This window comes from Homo sapiens, chromosome 3, assembly GCF_000001405.40.
Source record: "Homo sapiens chromosome 3, GRCh38.p14 Primary Assembly".
In the NCBI taxonomy this organism is placed as follows: Eukaryota; Metazoa; Chordata; class Mammalia; order Primates; family Hominidae; genus Homo; species Homo sapiens.
The window spans coordinates 181,174,573-181,194,416 of record NC_000003.12 but is presented as its reverse complement, the minus strand read 5'-3'; the positions used below and the strand labels follow the sequence as shown (position 1 = coordinate 181,194,416).

General features: G+C 39.8%; 1 long non-coding RNA gene across 3 annotated transcripts in view; it reads right to left on the bottom strand.

Annotated features, from left to right (window-relative positions):
* SOX2-OT (SOX2 overlapping transcript) overlaps positions 1-19,844 on the bottom strand; it is a 685,549-nt gene that overhangs the window by 547,812 nt on the left and 117,893 nt on the right. For 2 of the 3 annotated variants that reach the window (NR_075091.1, NR_075092.1), the window contains exon 3: positions 18,834-18,903. This is a non-coding gene — a long non-coding RNA (SOX2 overlapping transcript). Of the gene's footprint in view, positions 1-18,833; positions 18,904-19,149; positions 19,274-19,844 lie in introns of those variants that run through there. The other variant, NR_075093.1, reaches the window with a different exon arrangement.

Genomic DNA, 19,844 nt, shown 5'->3' with positions numbered 1-19,844 from the left:
CCAAGAGACCACCTTCTTGAAACTTCACAGAGGGCCACATCAAGAAGTTTCTGCTGTCACCGAAGGCCCACACCAAACCTTTACTCTCAACCTCTCACAGAAGGATTCCCACAACCCTGAAGTTTCCTAGAAGGCCCATGCTTAGCTCTTCTTTAGAGTTTGGCCACCAGCTTTGCCTACACATCCGATAGGTCCTCGCTCTACCCATCCTTCCCTATCTCAAAATCCTAAGCAAGTAATTCACCCACAGAAGCGGCAGTCAGACATAACTTTCTAATACTAAAAATACCCCCGAAATTGAAGAGTTTCCAGGCTTAAAGGGGACCTAAGGACTTAAACACAGGTATCTGCCCCATTGCTGACTTCATGACTGCAGCAAGCACCATGCCTCTAAGAATGCCCAAAAGACAGCCTCTAGCATCAGCCTCAATCTCTGAGACAGCCTCAATCTCCTGAGAAAGCAAGGGAAAAGGGCAGCTCTCTTGCTTACAAACCCAACCCATTCCTCTCTGCTTTAGGTCTCTGAATCTGCAAGTCTCTTGCTTGGTAATCCAGCTCATATTACTTGCTTTACTCCTTCCCTTTTGTAACACATTCAGATTCTCCTCTCTAGATTACCTCTCTCTGTCACCACCTCAACACATCCCTTAACTTCAGTTTTTACCTTGATTATATTTCTAATTACTCAGCCTGCCTAGGCACCACAGTACCTAGCCTGTCTGCTCCTTCAAGGAGATGGATCAGATGGCCCACTGGCAATTCATGGCAGTGAAATTCCAATGCCAGCTGAACCTGCTCACCCATGCACCTTTTCATTTCCAACTTGGACAGAACTGAAACAAAGCCCCTGCCCAAGCTTCAACTGTATTTTTATGAGTAGTCAGCTTTTCTTTGGGAAATAGTTCTAAAATATAAAAGTAATGCTGAGGAGATTTCTTGATACTACTTCTATAATTGGCCTATAAGAAACATCCCTTAACAACTACCCAAAACAGGAGTGGAGACCAGGTGCAGTGGGTCACACCTATAATCCCAACACTTTGGGATGCCGAGGCGGGCAGATCACCTGGGGTCAGGAGGTTGAGACCGGCCTGGCCAATATGGTGAAACCCCATCTCTACTAAAAATACAAAAATCAGCTGGGCGTGGTGGCACGTGCCTGTAATCCCAGCTACTTGGGAGGCTGAGGCAGGAGAATCACTTGAACCCAGGAGGCAGAGGTTGCAGTGAGCTGAGATCACACCACTGCACTCCAGCCTGGGCGACAGAGCAAGACTCCCTCTCAAAAACAAAAAACACACAAACAACAACAAAAACAACAACAACAACAACAACAAAACGGAAGTGGGACTGCCCTACCTTCTTTTACATATTCATTTCAAGTCAACACATTCAAAGTTGAACTCAATGATGTACCCACAAACATACCACTCTTCCCTGTCCTCTCTCACTAAATGGTGCCACCTTCTTTCACATGGCCTGGAACAGACCCAAGAGTCCTTCTCTCTCAGTGTTCTCTCAGTGTTCCATCTCTCTCATTCCCAATAGATGATCATCATATTCCATTAATTCCACCCCTTACATCTCCCCCATATCTACCCATTTTCCTCATCTCAAGGCACCATTATGTCTTTACTAGATGACTGTACAAGCCTCCTGACCAAACCCTGCCTTCTATTTCCATCCCTGCTCCCACTTCACTTCGCTGTGATTATATAACTAAGGTGATCTTTCAACCTAATAATAAACACTAATGTCTATGTCACTCCTGTTCATAACACTCCCATTGCTCCCTATGATCCTTAGAATAAATACGACACTCCTCAGCAGGATATACAGACATCATGATCTGGACTTTGCTTTTCTCTCCATCTTCATTTTTCCCCACTCCTCTCCTCTCACTGTACAACATATTCTGAGTGGGTCACTTTCTCACCTTCAGAATTCTGCACATTGTTCTCACTTCCTAGAATATTCTTCCTGCTCTGCCATCTCTTTACCTGGCCAACACTGTTCATTATTCAGAATCTGGTTGAGCACTACTTCTTCCAAGAACCTCTTCTGAACCATCCCCATCCACCTCCAGACCAGGCTGAATGTCTTTCCTGTGTGTTCTTATTGCATCCTCCACTCAAAACTACTGCAACACTACATTGTAATTGTCAATAAAACCAGGAATTACCTATAATCTTAATTACCTCTAGCCTCTAACAGACTAAGGACAATTTCTTGCTCCCTGTTTCGTCCCGGGCACCTGACAGAGTGTCTGCATCCAATAAGTACTCAATAAATACAAGTTAATTGACAAATGGATGTTGACATTTACCTCATAGAGATTACTTGCAATGGTCATCTTAACCTGACCTCTCCTGTGTAAGAGAAGTTGGACAGGATCACACTCAGTCATTTGCTCAAACCATAGCATCTTGCTGCAAATAGACTGATATGTTTAGTCCTCAGAAACATCATCAGTGTTTTCTCTTCCTGTGCATAAAAAACACTCCTCTTTCAGATGAGTCTAAGTTCAACATAGTGACAGTGCCTGGACTAGATGTTCTGGAGAACGTTCTTAGTTGCATAATCCTGGTAGAATGTTGAATAGACTGCACTTCTGAATTATTCCCAGTTACTCATAAATCAGAAGAACAGACAGTGCAATATTTTTTTTTACTGCTCTAAAATGTGTCCAGCCTGGAGAAACTGAGGAAATCACTGAGTCAAAAAAGCAACCTGGTTCTGCTGTGAGATGTTTTCACTAAACTGTCCGGCTTTATATGATAGGCTACTTAATGATACAACTCAGGAATATGTCTCCTAAAATACCACAGAATACAGCATTACTGCTCATTTTTGGCAGTCTCTGGGTGTAATACATCACCAACTCATTCTCTAGCTCTGAAAGGTTGAAGATCAGTAACTAAATCATGTAAGTGCTTATCAAGTAATTATGTTATTAAAATGACATACATCAGTCAGTGCATACCTTGCCTTTGTCTTTGGATTCTTTGTCTTCTCCATTTTATTAGTCAAAACACTATTTTCAGCACTGTTCTCAGGAATTAAGAAAGCTATATTTAAATAATGTTAATAGCTAGTGACATAAACCTGCACGAAGAAATCAGAGAAGTCTAAGGCTACACCTCCTCACACTTAGCAGGAAAAATAGACCATGGCAGACTGAACTGAACTTGAAATTCTAAGCCTTTTGTTACAGAACCACAACCTTTATACTTTCTAAATCATTTTCCCCATCACTGTAACTTTTTACTCTAATTGTTCATAATGATGATTAAAATTTGTCAAGAACAGTCACAAGAGTACAAAATACATTTATGGAACCAAATAAAGGCTAATGTAATTTTTATCATTAATAGGAATTTTTGAAGGAAATTTTTATTCTTTCAAGGTTAATTCAGAAATATTTAAAATTCTAATTTTTGACTGAATTTGAGTTTGTGTAGGTTGGAAGTTTGTTTAAAAGAATGAAGATGACTAAGAAAATTATTTTCAAAAAGTAATTTATTTAGATTGGCCAACTGTGGTGACAACTTGCAAATTAACTTAACAGGAATTCAGTGTGTTTGTGTGGTGAGGGTTATAACACTGACTCAGAAGTCTGACCTTAAGGGAAAAGGATCCTGCCCTAATTCAGAAAACCATTTACTGACCATTCAAACCAACTCAAACTATGTTTAAAACCATAATATGTTTTTAAAGATAGCCATTGAAAATGTAAATAGCAAGTTATCTCTGACATCCATAAAAAATAAACAAAATGGTGCACACTTTAGAAGATATTTTGTTAGTTTTTTTCTTTTTTTTAGAAGAATCCCATCTTGCTTCAATAGTATCTCAAAGATGATCTACCAGTCCATGGATAGAGTTATTTCCAGGAAAGATAGGATCCCAGATGAAAGAACATCCAATTTGTTCCAGAGGAAGTCATTAGAACAACTTTGGTAAGTACAATTTCAGTGTAGAGGATAGTAAGAAAGTAGTTGGGAAAAGGTCAAGAATAAAGTCAGAGGTGAGGAAGTGAATCAAATATCTGATGCGTTTGGAATAGATTGAAGGGAAGCTTTTTAGTTGAAGGATGAAGAAAAATTAATGGACTTTTGGGGAGGATATTTAATAAGAATAAAAGAGAATTAAGGTTCAGAGATAAAAAAGAATTTCAGAAGAAAGCTATGGAAAAAGAATATCATAGGAAGAAGCTTATTCGGCCTCCAGTTTTAAAAGAGAGAAAAATGGGGATCTGAAGGCACAAATATGAGAAAGATAGAAAAGAAGGTGGCATGAAGGAATAAAGAAAAACAGGGAGGAGAAGGACAGAAAGACCATTCTGGAGAATGCGGACAATAATGTCCTAATAAGCACCAGGGAAAACAAAGAATAAAAACTAAAGTTCCAAGAGTGAGTTGAAGGAAGTTGTAAAAGGTCTTGGATAATATAAAAAACAAAAAACTAGAATCGAGGTGTACTGTTGTACAAGATTTACGAGAGCAAAGAGTACATAAAGATACATCTCCCCACAAAGGGCAAAGCAAGATGAAAATGGGAGGATGTGTTAATGACAATCCAAAGATAGGAATGGGTAAAGTCAAAAGACAAGAGAGTTTTAGCAAGAAAAGTGGAACTCATTATGTTGTGGGCAGAGGTGAGACATTAGGGAAATGGGAAGGCACATTCCAGCCAGAGATAATCAAGGATTAGGTTTCCTGAAACACAGTTGTTGAGTTTCATTTATCCTGGGTAAAGTCATTTCAAAACAATAAGGAATTTATGACTTTGTAAGACTTCTTTCTGATAGCTTAAAACAACCTGAAACATAGGATATGGGTGGCCAATATTCCTGTGTGCTGCTTCCCTGATGATGTTTAATTTCATCTCGTTTTTCCAACAAATCCACCATATACATCCAGCATAAATGAAGTTGACATGCAACTTTCTTCCTCACTGCCTTAAACGTCTACTCAGCTTTCTGACTTTCTTCTACCTGTTTCAGTTTTAAGGCTTCCTTCAAGGATTTTAGAAATTTTGCACAATTTAACATCTGAATGTAAAGTTATAGAGGAATGTCTTGGACTTTTTCTTAACACCTGCATAGCCCAACTGAGTTTTATAATAAACTTTTGAGAATCTGCCAGTTCCTTTTATCATTTTCAGAAGATGTTGAAATCAAGTTAAAAGACATTTTATCACAGTACTGGGACTTCACAAATGGAGTAGTGAAAAGAATATGATCTTTTCACAGATTGATCTGAATTCATATCCCAGATCTGTGATGCTGGACAAGTTTTTGTCCTCTCGGAGCCTCAGTTTCATCATCTATAAATTTGGGATAATATACTAGAGTCATTTGTAGTAACGGTTATCATGTATTTTTTAGAATAGACTTCAATATTCAAAGTCTAATATTAATATTATTGATAATGTATATGAGGTCTCTTTTTATGTTAAATTTAGTCTATTTCATTTCTTTCTTTATTCTCATATAAGTTTTCTGATAATTAACCACAAATATCAATTATTTTGTCTCCATATGTTATGACTTGAAAATATTAGGAATGATTAAATATTTAACACATTTGTTTGCCTATTTCGATGGCACAGATTTCCAATTATCTGTTTAGCAATGTAATTTATATTTGTATAAAATGTAAAAATATATATGTATATAATGTGTGTCATATACAATAATATATATAATATTTACTTTCTCACATATCACTAGTAGGTTAAAATGTTTTTGTTTTGTGTTTTTTTTTTGTTTGTTTTTTTTTTTTGAGATGATATCTCTGTCACCCAGGCTGGAGTGCAGTGGCGCGATCTCGGCTCACTGCAAGCTCTGCCTCCTGGGTTCAGGTCATTCTCCTGACTTAGCCTCCCAAGTAGCTGGGACTACAGGTGACCACCACCATGCCCAGCTAATTTTTTTGTATTTTTTTTAGTAGAGACGGGGTTTCACCATGTTAGCCAGGATGGTCTCGATCTCCTGACCTCGTGATCTGCTCGCCTCGGCCTCCCAGCGTGCTGGGATTAGAGGCATGAGCCACCGCGCCTGGCCTATTTAAACATTTTTACTTTTAAATTTCAAGTGAATTTGTGTTCAGGAAAAAAACAAAAGCAAAGACTTCAGATTCTTTACTTCTAAAAAGTAATAATGCTCTCCTCAGTTTGTTTAAAGGTCAAACGAGTTTACATGTGTCAGGGCCCACTAAAGAAGCACAGAGCAGATGACTAATGAACATCTCTTCTTTTTTCTATCTCCTTTCCTGTTCTCTACCTGTCAAAATATTACACACCGTTCTCCCGGCCCCCTTGTCCTAACCCATGCTGACAAGTATCTTCTGTTACTCACATGGCTATCTGCATCTTGAATATCTTAGGCACTCAATCCGGTTGTGTTGACCCAATCCTACTTAGACACTGGCCTCACGAGTTCTCCACCTCTCACCTCCAAGAACACCCACCTCCATGACACCGGTCCATTCCTGATATGGCTCTACCTTATACATCAACAGAGCTTACACCTGTTCTGAATGTCTGCTGTAATCACAAATGCCTGTCCTTCTACCCATGACCCTTGACCTTCCAAGTCTGGTTTTCACTGTCATCATGAGCCCAAATTCCTGTAGTCCTCCTGGTTTTGTTTTTAGTACATCAGCCTCCTTCTGTCTTCCTTTGCCTTCCTGCCAAGTCTGGGCCCTCCGGATGGTCATTCAGTGAAGCACTAGCCACAAATACAGAATCTTTCACCCATGCATCTTCTGCCATTCCTTCCATGCCAAGTTCCAGACCACTGTGGCCCTTCCATGGCTTCTAGTCCTGTGCTGCCAAGTGTTGCAAATTCAGTGATTTTGAGACCTAGAGACTCTGCATTTTTCAAGGAACCATGTACAATCACTCTTCACTTACAGTTCTGTCTTTAAGCAATAGTCTTAGAGTAGATTAAAAAAATAATGCAAGAGCCCTTTTTTAAATGCAGATTTCTGGGCTCTGCCCTCAATTATTCTGATTGGATCCTTCTAGAGTGAAACCCAGGAATGTGTAATTTAACAAACACAGCCAAATCTGGCTCACTGCCTGTTTTTGTACTGTCTTTGAGCTAGAAATGGTTTTACATTTTAAGTTCTTGGAAAAAAATCAAAAGAAGAACATTTCAAGAAATATGAATATTCAAATGTTCTAACATTAGTAGTTTTTTAACATTAATAAAGTTTTATTGGAACACAGCCTCACTCATTTATTTACATATTACCTTATAGCTGCTTTTATGCTACAACAGCTAAGTTGAGCAGTTGCAACGTAGACCACGTGGCCTACAAAGTCTAAAATACCTGCATTTACTGTCTGGCACTTTACAGAAAAAAGTTTGCTGATCCCTGACTTGAAAGACCCTGTTGCAGTATCAGAGACTTTATTTTGAGAAATCCTTATAAAACAAGGTTCACTGAAAGTCCATGCTACCTCCACTTGTTTTCTTTCTTAATCATGCCCAAACTCCCTACATTTGCTACTTCAAGTCTTCTTCACGCTCCTCAGTCTCCTCTCCTACCCGGACTTCCTCACTCTCAGCAAATATCTCACCTTCTCTTTCACAAAGAACACACAACCTGTTCGGTAAAAGCTTCTTCAAATTACTTCCCTTGTTTCCTTTACTCTTGTATGAAACCAAAATTATTCATAAAATTGTAAGGCCTAGTGGTATCTTTAGTCTCTGAGGGACTTACGTTCAAATCCAAACTCTGCAGTTACTTGGTTGTGACCCAAAGCAAGGCCTCACCTCTGGTTTTATCAGGTACAACATGTGGCTGACAACACCCAGCTCAGAGAGTTGTTGTGGAGGGAAAGTGAAACAGCACAAGTTTGGCACAGAGTAGGCACTTGATAAATGCCTTCCTCATTTCATCTGACTCCAAAATACCAATAGGTCATACTTACTGAAAACCTATTATATGTCAGATATGTTATATCCATGACTTCATTAAATTCTGACAGAAACACTGAGATAGAAGCTAAATCATACTGTCTCCCCAACTTTGCTTCATCATTTTTCTACCTTTTCCTTTCAAGTGTCACCTCCAATGACTTTATTCCTCTACACATACAGTTATTCATAGAAATATGCTCAGGTCTTCTCTCAACCTTGCGACAACCTCATATTAAGGTTTTCTATCACCTTCTCTGCGGTAATAAAAAAGAAATCCCATTCACGCCTTAACTCCTTGCAATCCAGTGTCTGTTGTTTTAATCAATCTACTACAATGCCTGTCCCCATTTGGGAACAAATGCTTGTCAAGATTATCAACAATTATTAGCTGTCACAATCAATGGCATTTTCTTGGTCTTTATTCTGCTTTAGAGCAAACAGTCTAACCATTGAAGATTACACAACCATTAAAACAAAACTCTCCTTAACTGCCATAACAACTCCCTCTGATGGTTTCCTTTGCTTTTCTGACCACTTCTTGTCAGTCAGTTCCTCTGACCTTTAACCTTCTTTCTCATCCTTTTCTCCTGTGCTTTATACTCTTCTCTCTCCTCCACTGTTCTATCTTCTAGGACCCTGGCTGCAACTACCTAGCTTATGCACATCTAAATAAGCTGTATCTAGACCTAACATTTCTTTAAATTTTTTGTATCCTTTTTTTTCAATCATGGACTAAATGTCTATCCATATTTCAAACTTAATCAAGGAGAAACCAAAGCTCCCTTAAAATTAAGTATTTGTCCTGATTTCCCTGTTTTGCCAAGTGATGCCATTATTCACTGAGATTTAAAATCATAGGATCTTTTTTATCTTATTCTTTCTTACTTTGCCCTCAGCAGCTGCCATATATTTACCTCTAAAAGTATTTCTCCTCTTTCCCTGTCCTCAATCCCTCACTTCCTAATCAATATTCAGTCTATAACAGTTATAATTTTGCTCCCAATTTCTTCAATGAAACTGCTCCTGCAGTTTCCTCCATGTTGCAAAAGCCCACAGACCCATTTCAGGTATCCTTTTACTCTATTCCATGGGTAATATTTGAAACTATTTCTCTCTCTCTTCTGGAAAGGCTACTCTTTGAGTTTTCTGTTCCCTCCACACACGTATGTCTCCTATGTAATCTCTTATCACTGGGTATTTCCTTGTCTTATAGAACTTAACATACACTTGGCTGGGAGCTCCTTGAGATTATGCGTCTGCCTTACGCATAGTAAGCACTAAGTACATAACTGTTGAATTAACTAAACACTTTGAGCAAATTAGCAAAAGGATTCAAAACACAAGTGAATTGTTCTAAAATTTATCTTATGCCTTGAATTTTCCCCTTTCTGTCCTTTATTCCTCTTTCCTCTACTCTCCCTTCCAAAAAAAATATCTTTTGAGACTATGGTATAATAACCCAACATCCAACATCATACCCTATGGCCTTCCACATCCTTTGTGCTTTGATTTCCCACCTCCTACTGTTGGAATATTTCATTCTTTAAGGTCCACTTTCTCAGAAATATCTTTCCTAATCCAACATGAATAAATAACCTTCAACACTTTAATCCATATAGCACTGTTCATACTACTTGGATGAGCCATATTATCTCAAGCCTATTATATTAGTGATTGACCTTATTGAGTGACCTAGTTTGCAAACTCCATGAGAGCAAGAACTATGCATTTCTTATCTCGTATTTCACCTCGTAGTGTGTTTTCAATAAACACTCAGTGAATTAATAGTTGTTTTGTAAATTTTAAAACATCGTATTTCCTGCTGCCTCAATGCCAACAAATGGTCTATGAGCACCCTGCCCAGGTAGCCAGGTACACCAGTGTGATAAGGCTGGCCACTGCCCCAAGTTCTGGTTGTTGCCATCCTCTGATTTTGACCTAGTGACATTCAAATGCACCAATGAAATCCCCTCCTGCCTTTTGCTTGTGTACCCCGTACTGACCCCTGATCAAGGCACTTGTTCTCTTGGTCTCTCTGATCCTTGCTTGCTTGGTTGAGCTGGCTCCCTTGGTGCTCCTCCCTCCGTCCCTCCATCCTCCCACCACGTGACCCTGTCTCTCTAGGACATCTGAATACAATAAACTTCGTTTTCCTTCACCTCCCCTTTGTGCTCTCTAGTGGCCACACCTGACTGACCACCTCATGAAAGAACACTAAACAATAGTTACTTCGCTGTGTCATATGTATAGAAATACTTTGCTTTCAATTATCTCCCATCTTAAAAACTCTCCCTTGATTCCTGTGTTCTACTTCAGCTTTGACCCTTTCCCTTTCTTCCCCTTCCTAGCATATCTGCCTGAAAGGGTTGTCCATGGGTGCAATCTCCCCTGTCTGACCTCCCACTCTCTTCTTAACCCACTTCAAACTGGCTTGCATGTTGTTCCTCTACCCAAACTGCTTTCGCTGAAATCAATCACAATCTCTTTGTTGCTAAACACAACAAAGGGCCTTTATTGGTCCTTGACTTGCTTGACATTTCTGTTGAAAGATGGTTCTAAATCTGCCTTGAGCCCAGGATTCATCTGAGCTCACATTTACATGTCCAGTTCTTTACATGTAAATGTAAGACATCCTCATCTGAGTGTCATACTCAATAGAGTGCTCTACAAATACTTACTGAATAAAGAACACTCCCCAAGTCTGTTATTCATTCTGATCTAAACCAGTTTTTCTTACCCTATTTTAACCTATACCCTATTTTTAATAAACATGTAAAGTCTTATGCTTCCCCCAGCACCAACTACATTCTGAAAGAGCTGCCCACACTTTATCCAGAAGCTATTGCAGGCTGAGAATGACTTACCCTCTGCATATTCCCATTAGGATCTGACCAAGACAATTCTGTGGAACGTTAGTTTGTGATGTTCAAATCATTGAAACTGAGAGGTGACAGGGTGCTGGCAGCCCTCACTCGCTCTCCGCGCCTCCTTGGCCTTGGCACCCACTCTGGCAGCGTTTGAGGAAGCCTTCAGCCTGCTGCTGCACTGTGGGAGCCCCTTTCTGGGCTGGCCAAGGCCGGAGCCGGCTCCCTCAGCTTGCTGGGAGGTGTGGAGGGAGAGGCGCGGGCAGGAACCGGGGCTGCGCGCGGCGCTTGCGGGCCAGCGTGAGTTCCGGGTGGGCGTGAGCTCTGCGGTCCCCCCACTCCAAGCAGCTGGCTGGCTCACAAGCCCCGGGCAGGGAGGGGCTTAGCACCTGGGCCAGCAGCTGCTGTGCTCAATTTCTCCCCCGGCCTTAGCTGCCTCCCCGCGTGGCATGGCTCGGGACCTGTGGCCTGCCATGCCTGAGCCTCCCCCCACTGACGTGGGCTGCTGTGCAGCCAGAGCCTCCCCTACAAGTGCCGCTCCCTGCTCCACTGCGCCCAGTCCCATCAACCGCCCAAGGGCTGAGGAGTGCAGACGCAAAGTGTGGGACTGGCAGGCAGCTCCACCTGCAGCTCCACCTGCAGCCCCTGTGAGGGATCCACTGGGTGAATCCAGCTGGGCTCCTGAGTCTGGTGGGGACTGGGAGAATCTTTAAGTCTAGCTAAGGGATTGTAAATACACCAATCAGCACTCTGTGTCTAGCTCAGTGTTTGTAAATACACCCATGGACACTCTCTATCTAGCTAATGTAGTCCGGACGTGGAGAACTTTTGTGTCTAGCTCAGGGATTGTAAACACACCAATCAACACCCTGTCAAAATGGACCAATCAGCTCTCTGTAAAACAGACCAATCGGCTCTCTGTAAAATGGACCAATCAGCAGGATGTGGGTGGTGCCAGATAAGGGAATAAAAGCAGGCTGCCCAAACCAGCAGCTGCAACCTGCTTGGGTCGCCTTCCACAGTGTGGAAGCCTTGTGCTTTTGCTCTTCGCAATAAATCTTGCTGCTGCTCACTCTTTGGGTCCACACTGCCTTTATGAGCTGTAACACTCACCGCAAAGGTCCACAGCTTCACTCCTGAAGCCAGTGAGACTACGAACCCACTGGGAGGAATGAACAACTCCAGACGTGCTGCCTTAAGAGCTGTAACACTCACGCGAAGGTCTGCAGCTTCACTCCTGAGCCAGCGAGACCATGAACCCACCAGAAGGAAGAAACTCCAAACACATCTGAACATCAGAAGGAACAAACTCCGGACACGCCGCCTTTAAGAACTGTAACACTCACTGCGAGCGTCCGCGGCTTCATTCTTGAAGTCAGTGAGACCAAGAACCCACCAATTCCGCACCCAAAACAATGGTACTTTTGCATTTTTCAAATATGACATTATAGTATTATAGTAGATAGGCTCACAGACTTTCTGAAACCACAAACAGAAACCTGGAGATCCTGACACGCTCTCCAGAAGGGTCACCCTTTCCTTGTACTGCTCGCCCTCCCAGCTGGCAATCCCACTGCTAGAGGCAAAAAGAAGCTCTAAAATTGTGTGACTTTATGTTGTAAAGCCTTTAAACCTTTTTGACTCTCTAGGTATAAAGTGGCCATTAATAAACACTTTGAGCAAATTAGAGAAAGGATTCAAAACACAAGTGAATTGTTCTAAAATGTATCTTATGCCTGGAATTTTCCCCTTTCTATCCTTCATTCCTCTTTACTTTCCTTTCCAAAATAAAAAATAAAAAAAAAATAGAAGAAATATATTTTTAATTTTAGAAGGGAGGGTAGAGGAATGAAGGATAGAAAGGGGAAAATTTCTTTTTAAATTTGTTTTTCTATTTTCACTGCATTGATGATGGATTATGCTGTCCTTGTAGGCAGCTGGACTTTTTTTTTTTTTTTTTTTTTTTTTTTTTTGAGACGGAGTCTCGCTGTGTTGCCCAGGCTGGAGTGCAGCAGCATGATCTCGGCTCACTGCAAGCTCTGCCTCCCGGATTCACGTCATTCTCCTGCCTCAGCCTCCCAGGTAGCTGGGACTACAGGCGCCCACCACCACACCCAGCTAATTATTTGGTTTTTTTTTTTAATAGAAACGGTTTCACCGTGTTAGCCAGGATGGTCTCAATCTCCTGACCTTGTGATCCACCCGCCTTGGCCTCCCAAAGTACTGGGATTACAGGCATGAGCCACTGCACACGGCCTTTTTTTTTTTTTTTTTTTTTTTGAGGCCAGAAAAGTAGCTTGTCTAGTTTTGAATTTTCTTTGAGGAAATACAAGTGACTTTCTCTTTGGCCATGCCTAGTAGCCCCATTTTTTTTTAAAACCAAGTTGTTTCAGAGGAGTCATCCAAGTAAGCTTGACAGGAAAGGGCTCTACTGTGTGCTTAAGGAGCCATATTTCCAGAGCTGACTTACCCAGCAGATGAGAGAAATCCTGAAATTCCTGCACGACCTGTACCCAAATTTCAAACTTTCTGCACAGCAAGGCTGGAGAAGCACAATTTTTCTTGTGCTCACATGTTTATTTCACTGTGTCCTGCTGGCTTCTACCTTTGAACTATTAAGATACTAAATGATTCCACTGGATGAAGTACTTTGCCCTTCAGTTTACAAATGAAATTGGAAATAGCTATTTTTTTTTCATAGTACACTTTTGTCACTGTGCCCATGTCTTTTCACCCCTAATGATCTAGCATATATTTGTTAAGAGAGCTTGTTCTCCTGACAAAAGAAAATACATATTATTAAATCTGTTCTTGTAACTGTCTTAGTGAGAGAGAAAAAATTATAATCTTTCATATTGGTTTCAGAGCACTTTATAAGGAGTCTGTAAACATCAAAAGGCATTTATTTTTAGCCTTCCATTGACTCTTGAAGGACATACTCATTAGAGCAATGACAATGTAGGCAATTTTGGATGGCTGGCAGATTTGACATCCTCTCCTAAAAGAGCTACACTGGCTGACAATCAAGTTCAAGGCTCCAACAACCATATAATATCAACTGTTTAAGCCAAAAAAGCAGAAGTAAAGACCTGAGTAACTTAAAAGGAAACCTATGCAGAAAATCCACCTGAGTGCAGACAAATGACTCTGAAAGCTTTCTAAGCCTGGGGTTTCAAAAGGTTTTATAAAATGTTTCTCAATTTTCACTCCATGCCCCAAACTCAAAACAAATTGTATATGTTGAGCTATTACAGTTGATTCTTCTCTTTTCAAAATTTTTAAAAGAGTACATAGAAACCGAACTGATAAAAGCCCTACTACCTAATCACATGATTTAATGTGTATTATCACAATCTAAACCTGGGTGATATTAAGCCTGAAGAAGGCTTGGTTTCCATTCTTCAGAGTCTCTGGCCTGCCTTTCCCTTTCTAGGCATCAGCATTCTATTATCGTTTAAATAAACTTGACATTGTCTATTTAATATGTAAATATAGGATATAGTTTTCTATACAGTATACAATGAAATTGTGGGACACACTGAAAGGGAGACTCAAATTCATTTCTCGTGTTCTATTACTAGGTAAGTTCCCTTTATTTCTTTTCTCATTCTTAGCTTCATCCCTCCCTCCATCCTTAATTTTCTATTTAAAGCTATCCTTTAATTATGTGGTTGTGGCCCCATATACACTAACATGTTCTAAGTTTTTTTTTTTTTTCCTGTGGCACCTTGGACTCAGTCATCAGGGGGTAGCTACAAGCAAAAGAGTAATGAAATTTTCTGTAATGCCTGTTGATGGAGACACTGTCCCCTGAATCCTCCTTAACGTCCCACTGAAGAATATTTTTCCAAAACTAAATGCCTCAAAAGCCAAGAGACTGGTATGTTTTTCCCTGAAGTAAAACGTGCAATGGGATTATTTCAATTGCTACGTCATCCTCATTTCTACTAAGTAGAGTAAGAACTGTCACAGAGAAGGGTTTTGGAGGTGTGCTAAGCATGGCACTGGGTTTAGACATGCAAGCTTAGTTTTTAGAAGCTGGGGCAAAACCATATGGCTCCCTATTATGTTTTAATGAGGAGAGAAAGGGGGACACAGGAATAGAAGAAAGCAGCTAGGGAAGCTGGGTGGAGCATGAAAGAAGGATCAAAGAGAGGAACCTCCAATTTTAGCAAACGAAAAAGGTACTTTACAGACCAGAATGTTTAACAGGAATGTTTAAGTGGCTTGATGTGGGATATGCAAAGTTCATCCCCTCAACTTCCCACTCAGTAAAGTCCACATTGCCCACTCACTCTCTATGAAAGTGGATTCCATTAGAGAACTTCAGTGTAGAGCTGACATCCGTGATTCTGGATTGGCCTTGGGCAGTCACGGAAAGAGGGTATGCACGTGGAGGAGACTGCAGGGACAGCTGACTTCTATGTTACCCAAAGGCAGTCAAGGCTATGAGAGTCAGAGAGACCTGGATTTAATCCCACAGAGGCATGTGTTGCCTGCGTAACCAGCGGCTGGTAACTGAATCCTTCTGATTCTGCATTTTTTCCACCAGAAAACAACGGTAACAATAAGTGGCTTTGAGGTTGTTGTAACCATTCGGGCTGTATAAAATGCTCACTATATGGAAGTTATCCTCTAGATGACTTTTTTCCACTTTTGTTTTAGCTGTTAAAAACCTTGAGCCAAGTCTATGACTCAAAAAAACGTTAAAAATATATGGCCTTCATATGTATGTTGTTCTTTTCCCTCCTAAGTCTCAAACCAATTTATATTTTCTCTATTCTTAATTATCTGGACATTATTTATATCTACTGTATTGTATTACAGCATGCATCAAAATGCTTGTAAAAGGTGGTGCTACAAAATAGATTTTTTTCTGTTTACTATGCTCCCAGTTTCCCCATTCTGCATTTGAAGACATGATGGGAGTTGGCACATTTTTCTCCCTTTTGGATGCTGCTGCTGCCATGCTGAGAGTTGTCTGACTAATAATTGGAATGGTTTGGGCATTGATCAATACCTGCTTCATCCCCTTTGTCATCTAAAGTTGGCTCCCATCTGGGGTTAGGAGTGACATCAGTGTCTGTTGGTCTTCTTTGCCATTATGTCATCACCAGCTAAGCTAACTAGACCGACCATCATATTCATGCCAAAAAGTACATCCCAGTATGTCTGCCCAGCCTGTAGAAGGCAAGACAAGAAACAAGCAAAGGACACATAACATTCTCTTTTGACACCTGAGGAAAGCAAAGTGCAAAGATGCCGGTAATGAGTCCAGAGGCATCAATGTAAAGTTGGAGTGAACACCAGGCCAACTACTTTCCTGCATCCTGAACCCTAGAGAATGCAGACTGATTAGTCAAGCAATCTGTTACTGCCTGCTGATATGTCAAAGCAGGGGCATGTCCTGCCTAAGATAATAAAAGAACACCTTTAGGTAATAGCTTCTACTGGCAGAGCTTAAGCAGGGACCAGGACCTCCATCCAGAGAAGAGCGGTGCTTCATGAGCCTTCTCTCCACTTTTGGGTTCTATTAGTAGGCCCTGAAAGCATTGAAACCTCAATAGCATCACTGTAATGGAAAAGCAGCTCCAAGTTTCTGACGAGAAGCTCAATAAAGTTTTAATTTTACTAGAAGAAAAATAGAACTTTAAAGTCAATCTCAGATGCTTCAGTCTTTACAAATGTGTCACTCATTTCCTTTCCTCTGAGAAGTTTTAAAGATACTTTGTGGTGTCTCTGTGGATCACCTTTGTGGATCTATATTTCTAAACTTTCCAGGAGTGATTTTTTGTTGGTTTGTTTTTATTTTTGTATTGGCTTAGCAAAGAGTGAAGTGTGTAACATATCAGTTGTTATACTTGAGAATATGAAGTCCACAAGCAAAATGTGTGAGACGGTTTCCTTTGTCCCAAAGGCTAATTGAAAATAATTACCTCTCCAGCTCCCCAAAATGCAGTTGCTTAATGTTTGTACTTATGCTGAGAGCAAGAGGATTTCTCTTCCTCTCAGCATAGGTACAACATTATTCTTGTTAGTAGATTGCTATACTAACAAGAGTTTCAGAACCGCTAATCTTGATAAGTGGAGTAAGCAGGAACCTTAGCTGATTTCAGGGCCTAATTACCTGTTTCTTAACGCTGTCTTCACAGAGATCCTTTACAACTGCGACAAAACGAAGTACCCCCAGCTTTTACCAAAAGTGCTTAAAGGAATTATAGAAGAGAACTTTTGCAAAAGGCTTACAAGATTGAGTAGATATGAAACTAGCCAGCAAAAGACAAAGCATTATTTCCCAGGTACTAATTTGTATTAACAACAAAACAACAACGACACTCTTAAATAATAAACTTTTTCTTTCAAGAACTAAAAAAAAAAAAAAAAAAACCTTAATTTAACAACAATCTTAATTTATATAAAAGAAGTCAATAGCCTGAGAAAAAAATTTTGCATCATATGTATAATTAATTACATCCCCTAGACAAACCCTCTTTTATATTGCACTTTTCTGTCAATCTAACATTACAGGCAATCACTACAGTGACAATGTGCAGGTCATCTAGAGCATCATACCCATGTAGACAACACAACAACCCAACTCGCTATTGCAGGAAGAATCACACTTTGATCCATCAAGAAGTGCAGCAGTTTTGTTCTCCTTCCTGTCTCCTATCCCCTCGGGTTTTGATAATCTCTTTTGTTGCAATTGTTATAAATTATCGGTAACAAAAACTTTGCAACTTCAACACCAATACAAACCAATATGCCACTGCCACCGTCTTGGCAGGCTGCCATGCATGCTATTTTAAAGTTAGGCATTAGGAGGCAGCAAATGGCTCAAAAACACAGGCAAAGATAAATGTAGGAAGTTGGAAAAGAGACCTGCAGCTGCAAAAGCTCAGAAAACAGACGTCATCTTAAATACAAACTTCCAGGAATTTATATTCGATGTGAGGAATAGTTAGAAGGGAAAGGGTTTGGCCCTCGCAGAGACCTCTGTGAAATAATCTGAATCCTTTTCCCCATTTCAGCATCCCTATAAATACTGACTGTTATTTTAAGGGTTAAACAACATAGGACTTGGTTTTAATTAATCTTTTTTTTTCTTGTCTCCAGAAACAAGGATCTCATGTTTGCCTACATGAAATTCCCAGGATCTGCTTGCTTTAGCAGTGCCAGCCCTAATGCAAATACTGTTCAAGCTACCTCAGAGATTTCAGAACTAATTCTGCCCCATATTGCTTCATTCTAAGGCATTTATATATTTAAAATATGCACTGTAGTTACTCAGAAATGCCAATGCTGCATCTATGTTTTAAAAAATACTTGTGGCATGTACTCTAATCCAAGGTATCATGTCTTCAGATAGCATATGTCTGTCTTATTTTTAGGAAGGTAAAAATGAACTTTTCACTTTCCCAAATGAAAAAAAAAGTCTCTAATCAAAGCTTTGTTATTTTAATTATAATGCTTGATTAAATTATAAGAAATGTCACTTAAACTGCATTAAAAATGCAGTTTAATAATGTCAGAATAATTCTTGCCTCTCTCTGGATATTCATTTTGAAGAAATAAGCTCACATAATTTATATGAGAATTTCATTTCAGGCATAAATAGAAAGGTCTCTAGAAAACATTATTACTATGAATTAAAACTATAAATGTGTGAGGAAGATTGTGTGGTATATAAAACAAGAAAACTTAGCATCTCCAAAGACAGTTCCCTGCAATTTTTGCATTGTTTCTTAAACTGTTGCACTAAGAATGCATATATTATATGGCACAAATACTTAGTTATTACAGAATATACTGGGTAAATTTAGCAATAGTGAATAACACATTCATTATCACAACAGTAATTGTGTGATAAACAGTTAAATCACACCAAAGGTAATTCACACCAAATAATGCAAATGTTTCACAAAACCCATTTTCCTTCAAGGCATGCATGATGATTTCAAACTCCTCCAGTAATCAAATTTCAGCTTTATTACAATTAGTAACAGTAATTGAAAAATAAATCACACATTACTTACTATTTTTCAGATGTGTATGCCATCCTTCCAAATTCAAAAGAGTGAAGAGGAATCACAACCATGAGGAAATCTAGCAGGCAAAAGGAGGGAAAATAGGAAGTATTAGTTGTCTAAAAATTAGCATCTTCAGGTTTTCTTGAGGTACTTCCCACAAGATCCCAAAGCATAGAAGAAAAAGAAAAAGTTGGAGAAAAACATCACACACATCACGAGCCGACTTTCTCCACAAACCCATGCAGCTCCAAACTTTAAAGGCTCAAATTGTTGAGCATCCTGATTGAGCAAATATCCGACTTCGGTATCACTGGTTACGTACATATTTTCAATAAGATGAATGCATCTCCAAAATTATGGTTACTTTAATGTATTATCCAGATTTCCCCCGTTTCTCTCCCCTTCTCCTTTTTCCATTCACAGTTTTCTTCCTACAAAATGCACATAGGTCTGTTCTTCCTTGTACCCCGAATCAGGCCTGGCTTTGAAATGCATTTCAGTCTCTCAACACAGACTGCTTTCATTGCATTTAGAGTCCCACTAAGGCCCAGCTTTAAAAGCTACTGATTCTTTTTTTCTTTAGCCTTCCTCACAAAGGAAGGGTATTTTGTAAATTACCAGCTCGTTCAGATCAACAAAAGGTACTTTCATAGAAAGCCCCATTTGATTTTGCTCAAATTTGATTACTAGGATGGAGAAAAGGAAAGGAAGTCAAAAAGAAAAACCCCAGATGGCTTTTTCATTCATCTCAGTGAATGAGCTTTATCTGTGCCTTTTGAAACTGTAGCAGTGGAAAAGCATTTCTGTTGGCTTAAAAAACTTGACAAAAATTATTGGTTTGCCATTTCTCATGTAACAGCCATTGGGAACTGGATGAAAAGACTTTTTCATGGGATCGCCTGCTTGGATCAAAATAATGGAGATTAGGTATTTCATTATAAATTACAGTGGGAGATAGAGCAGGCTGTCATATTAATAGCAACCTGCTCATGGCCTTCAATGGTAGCTATTCTCCTA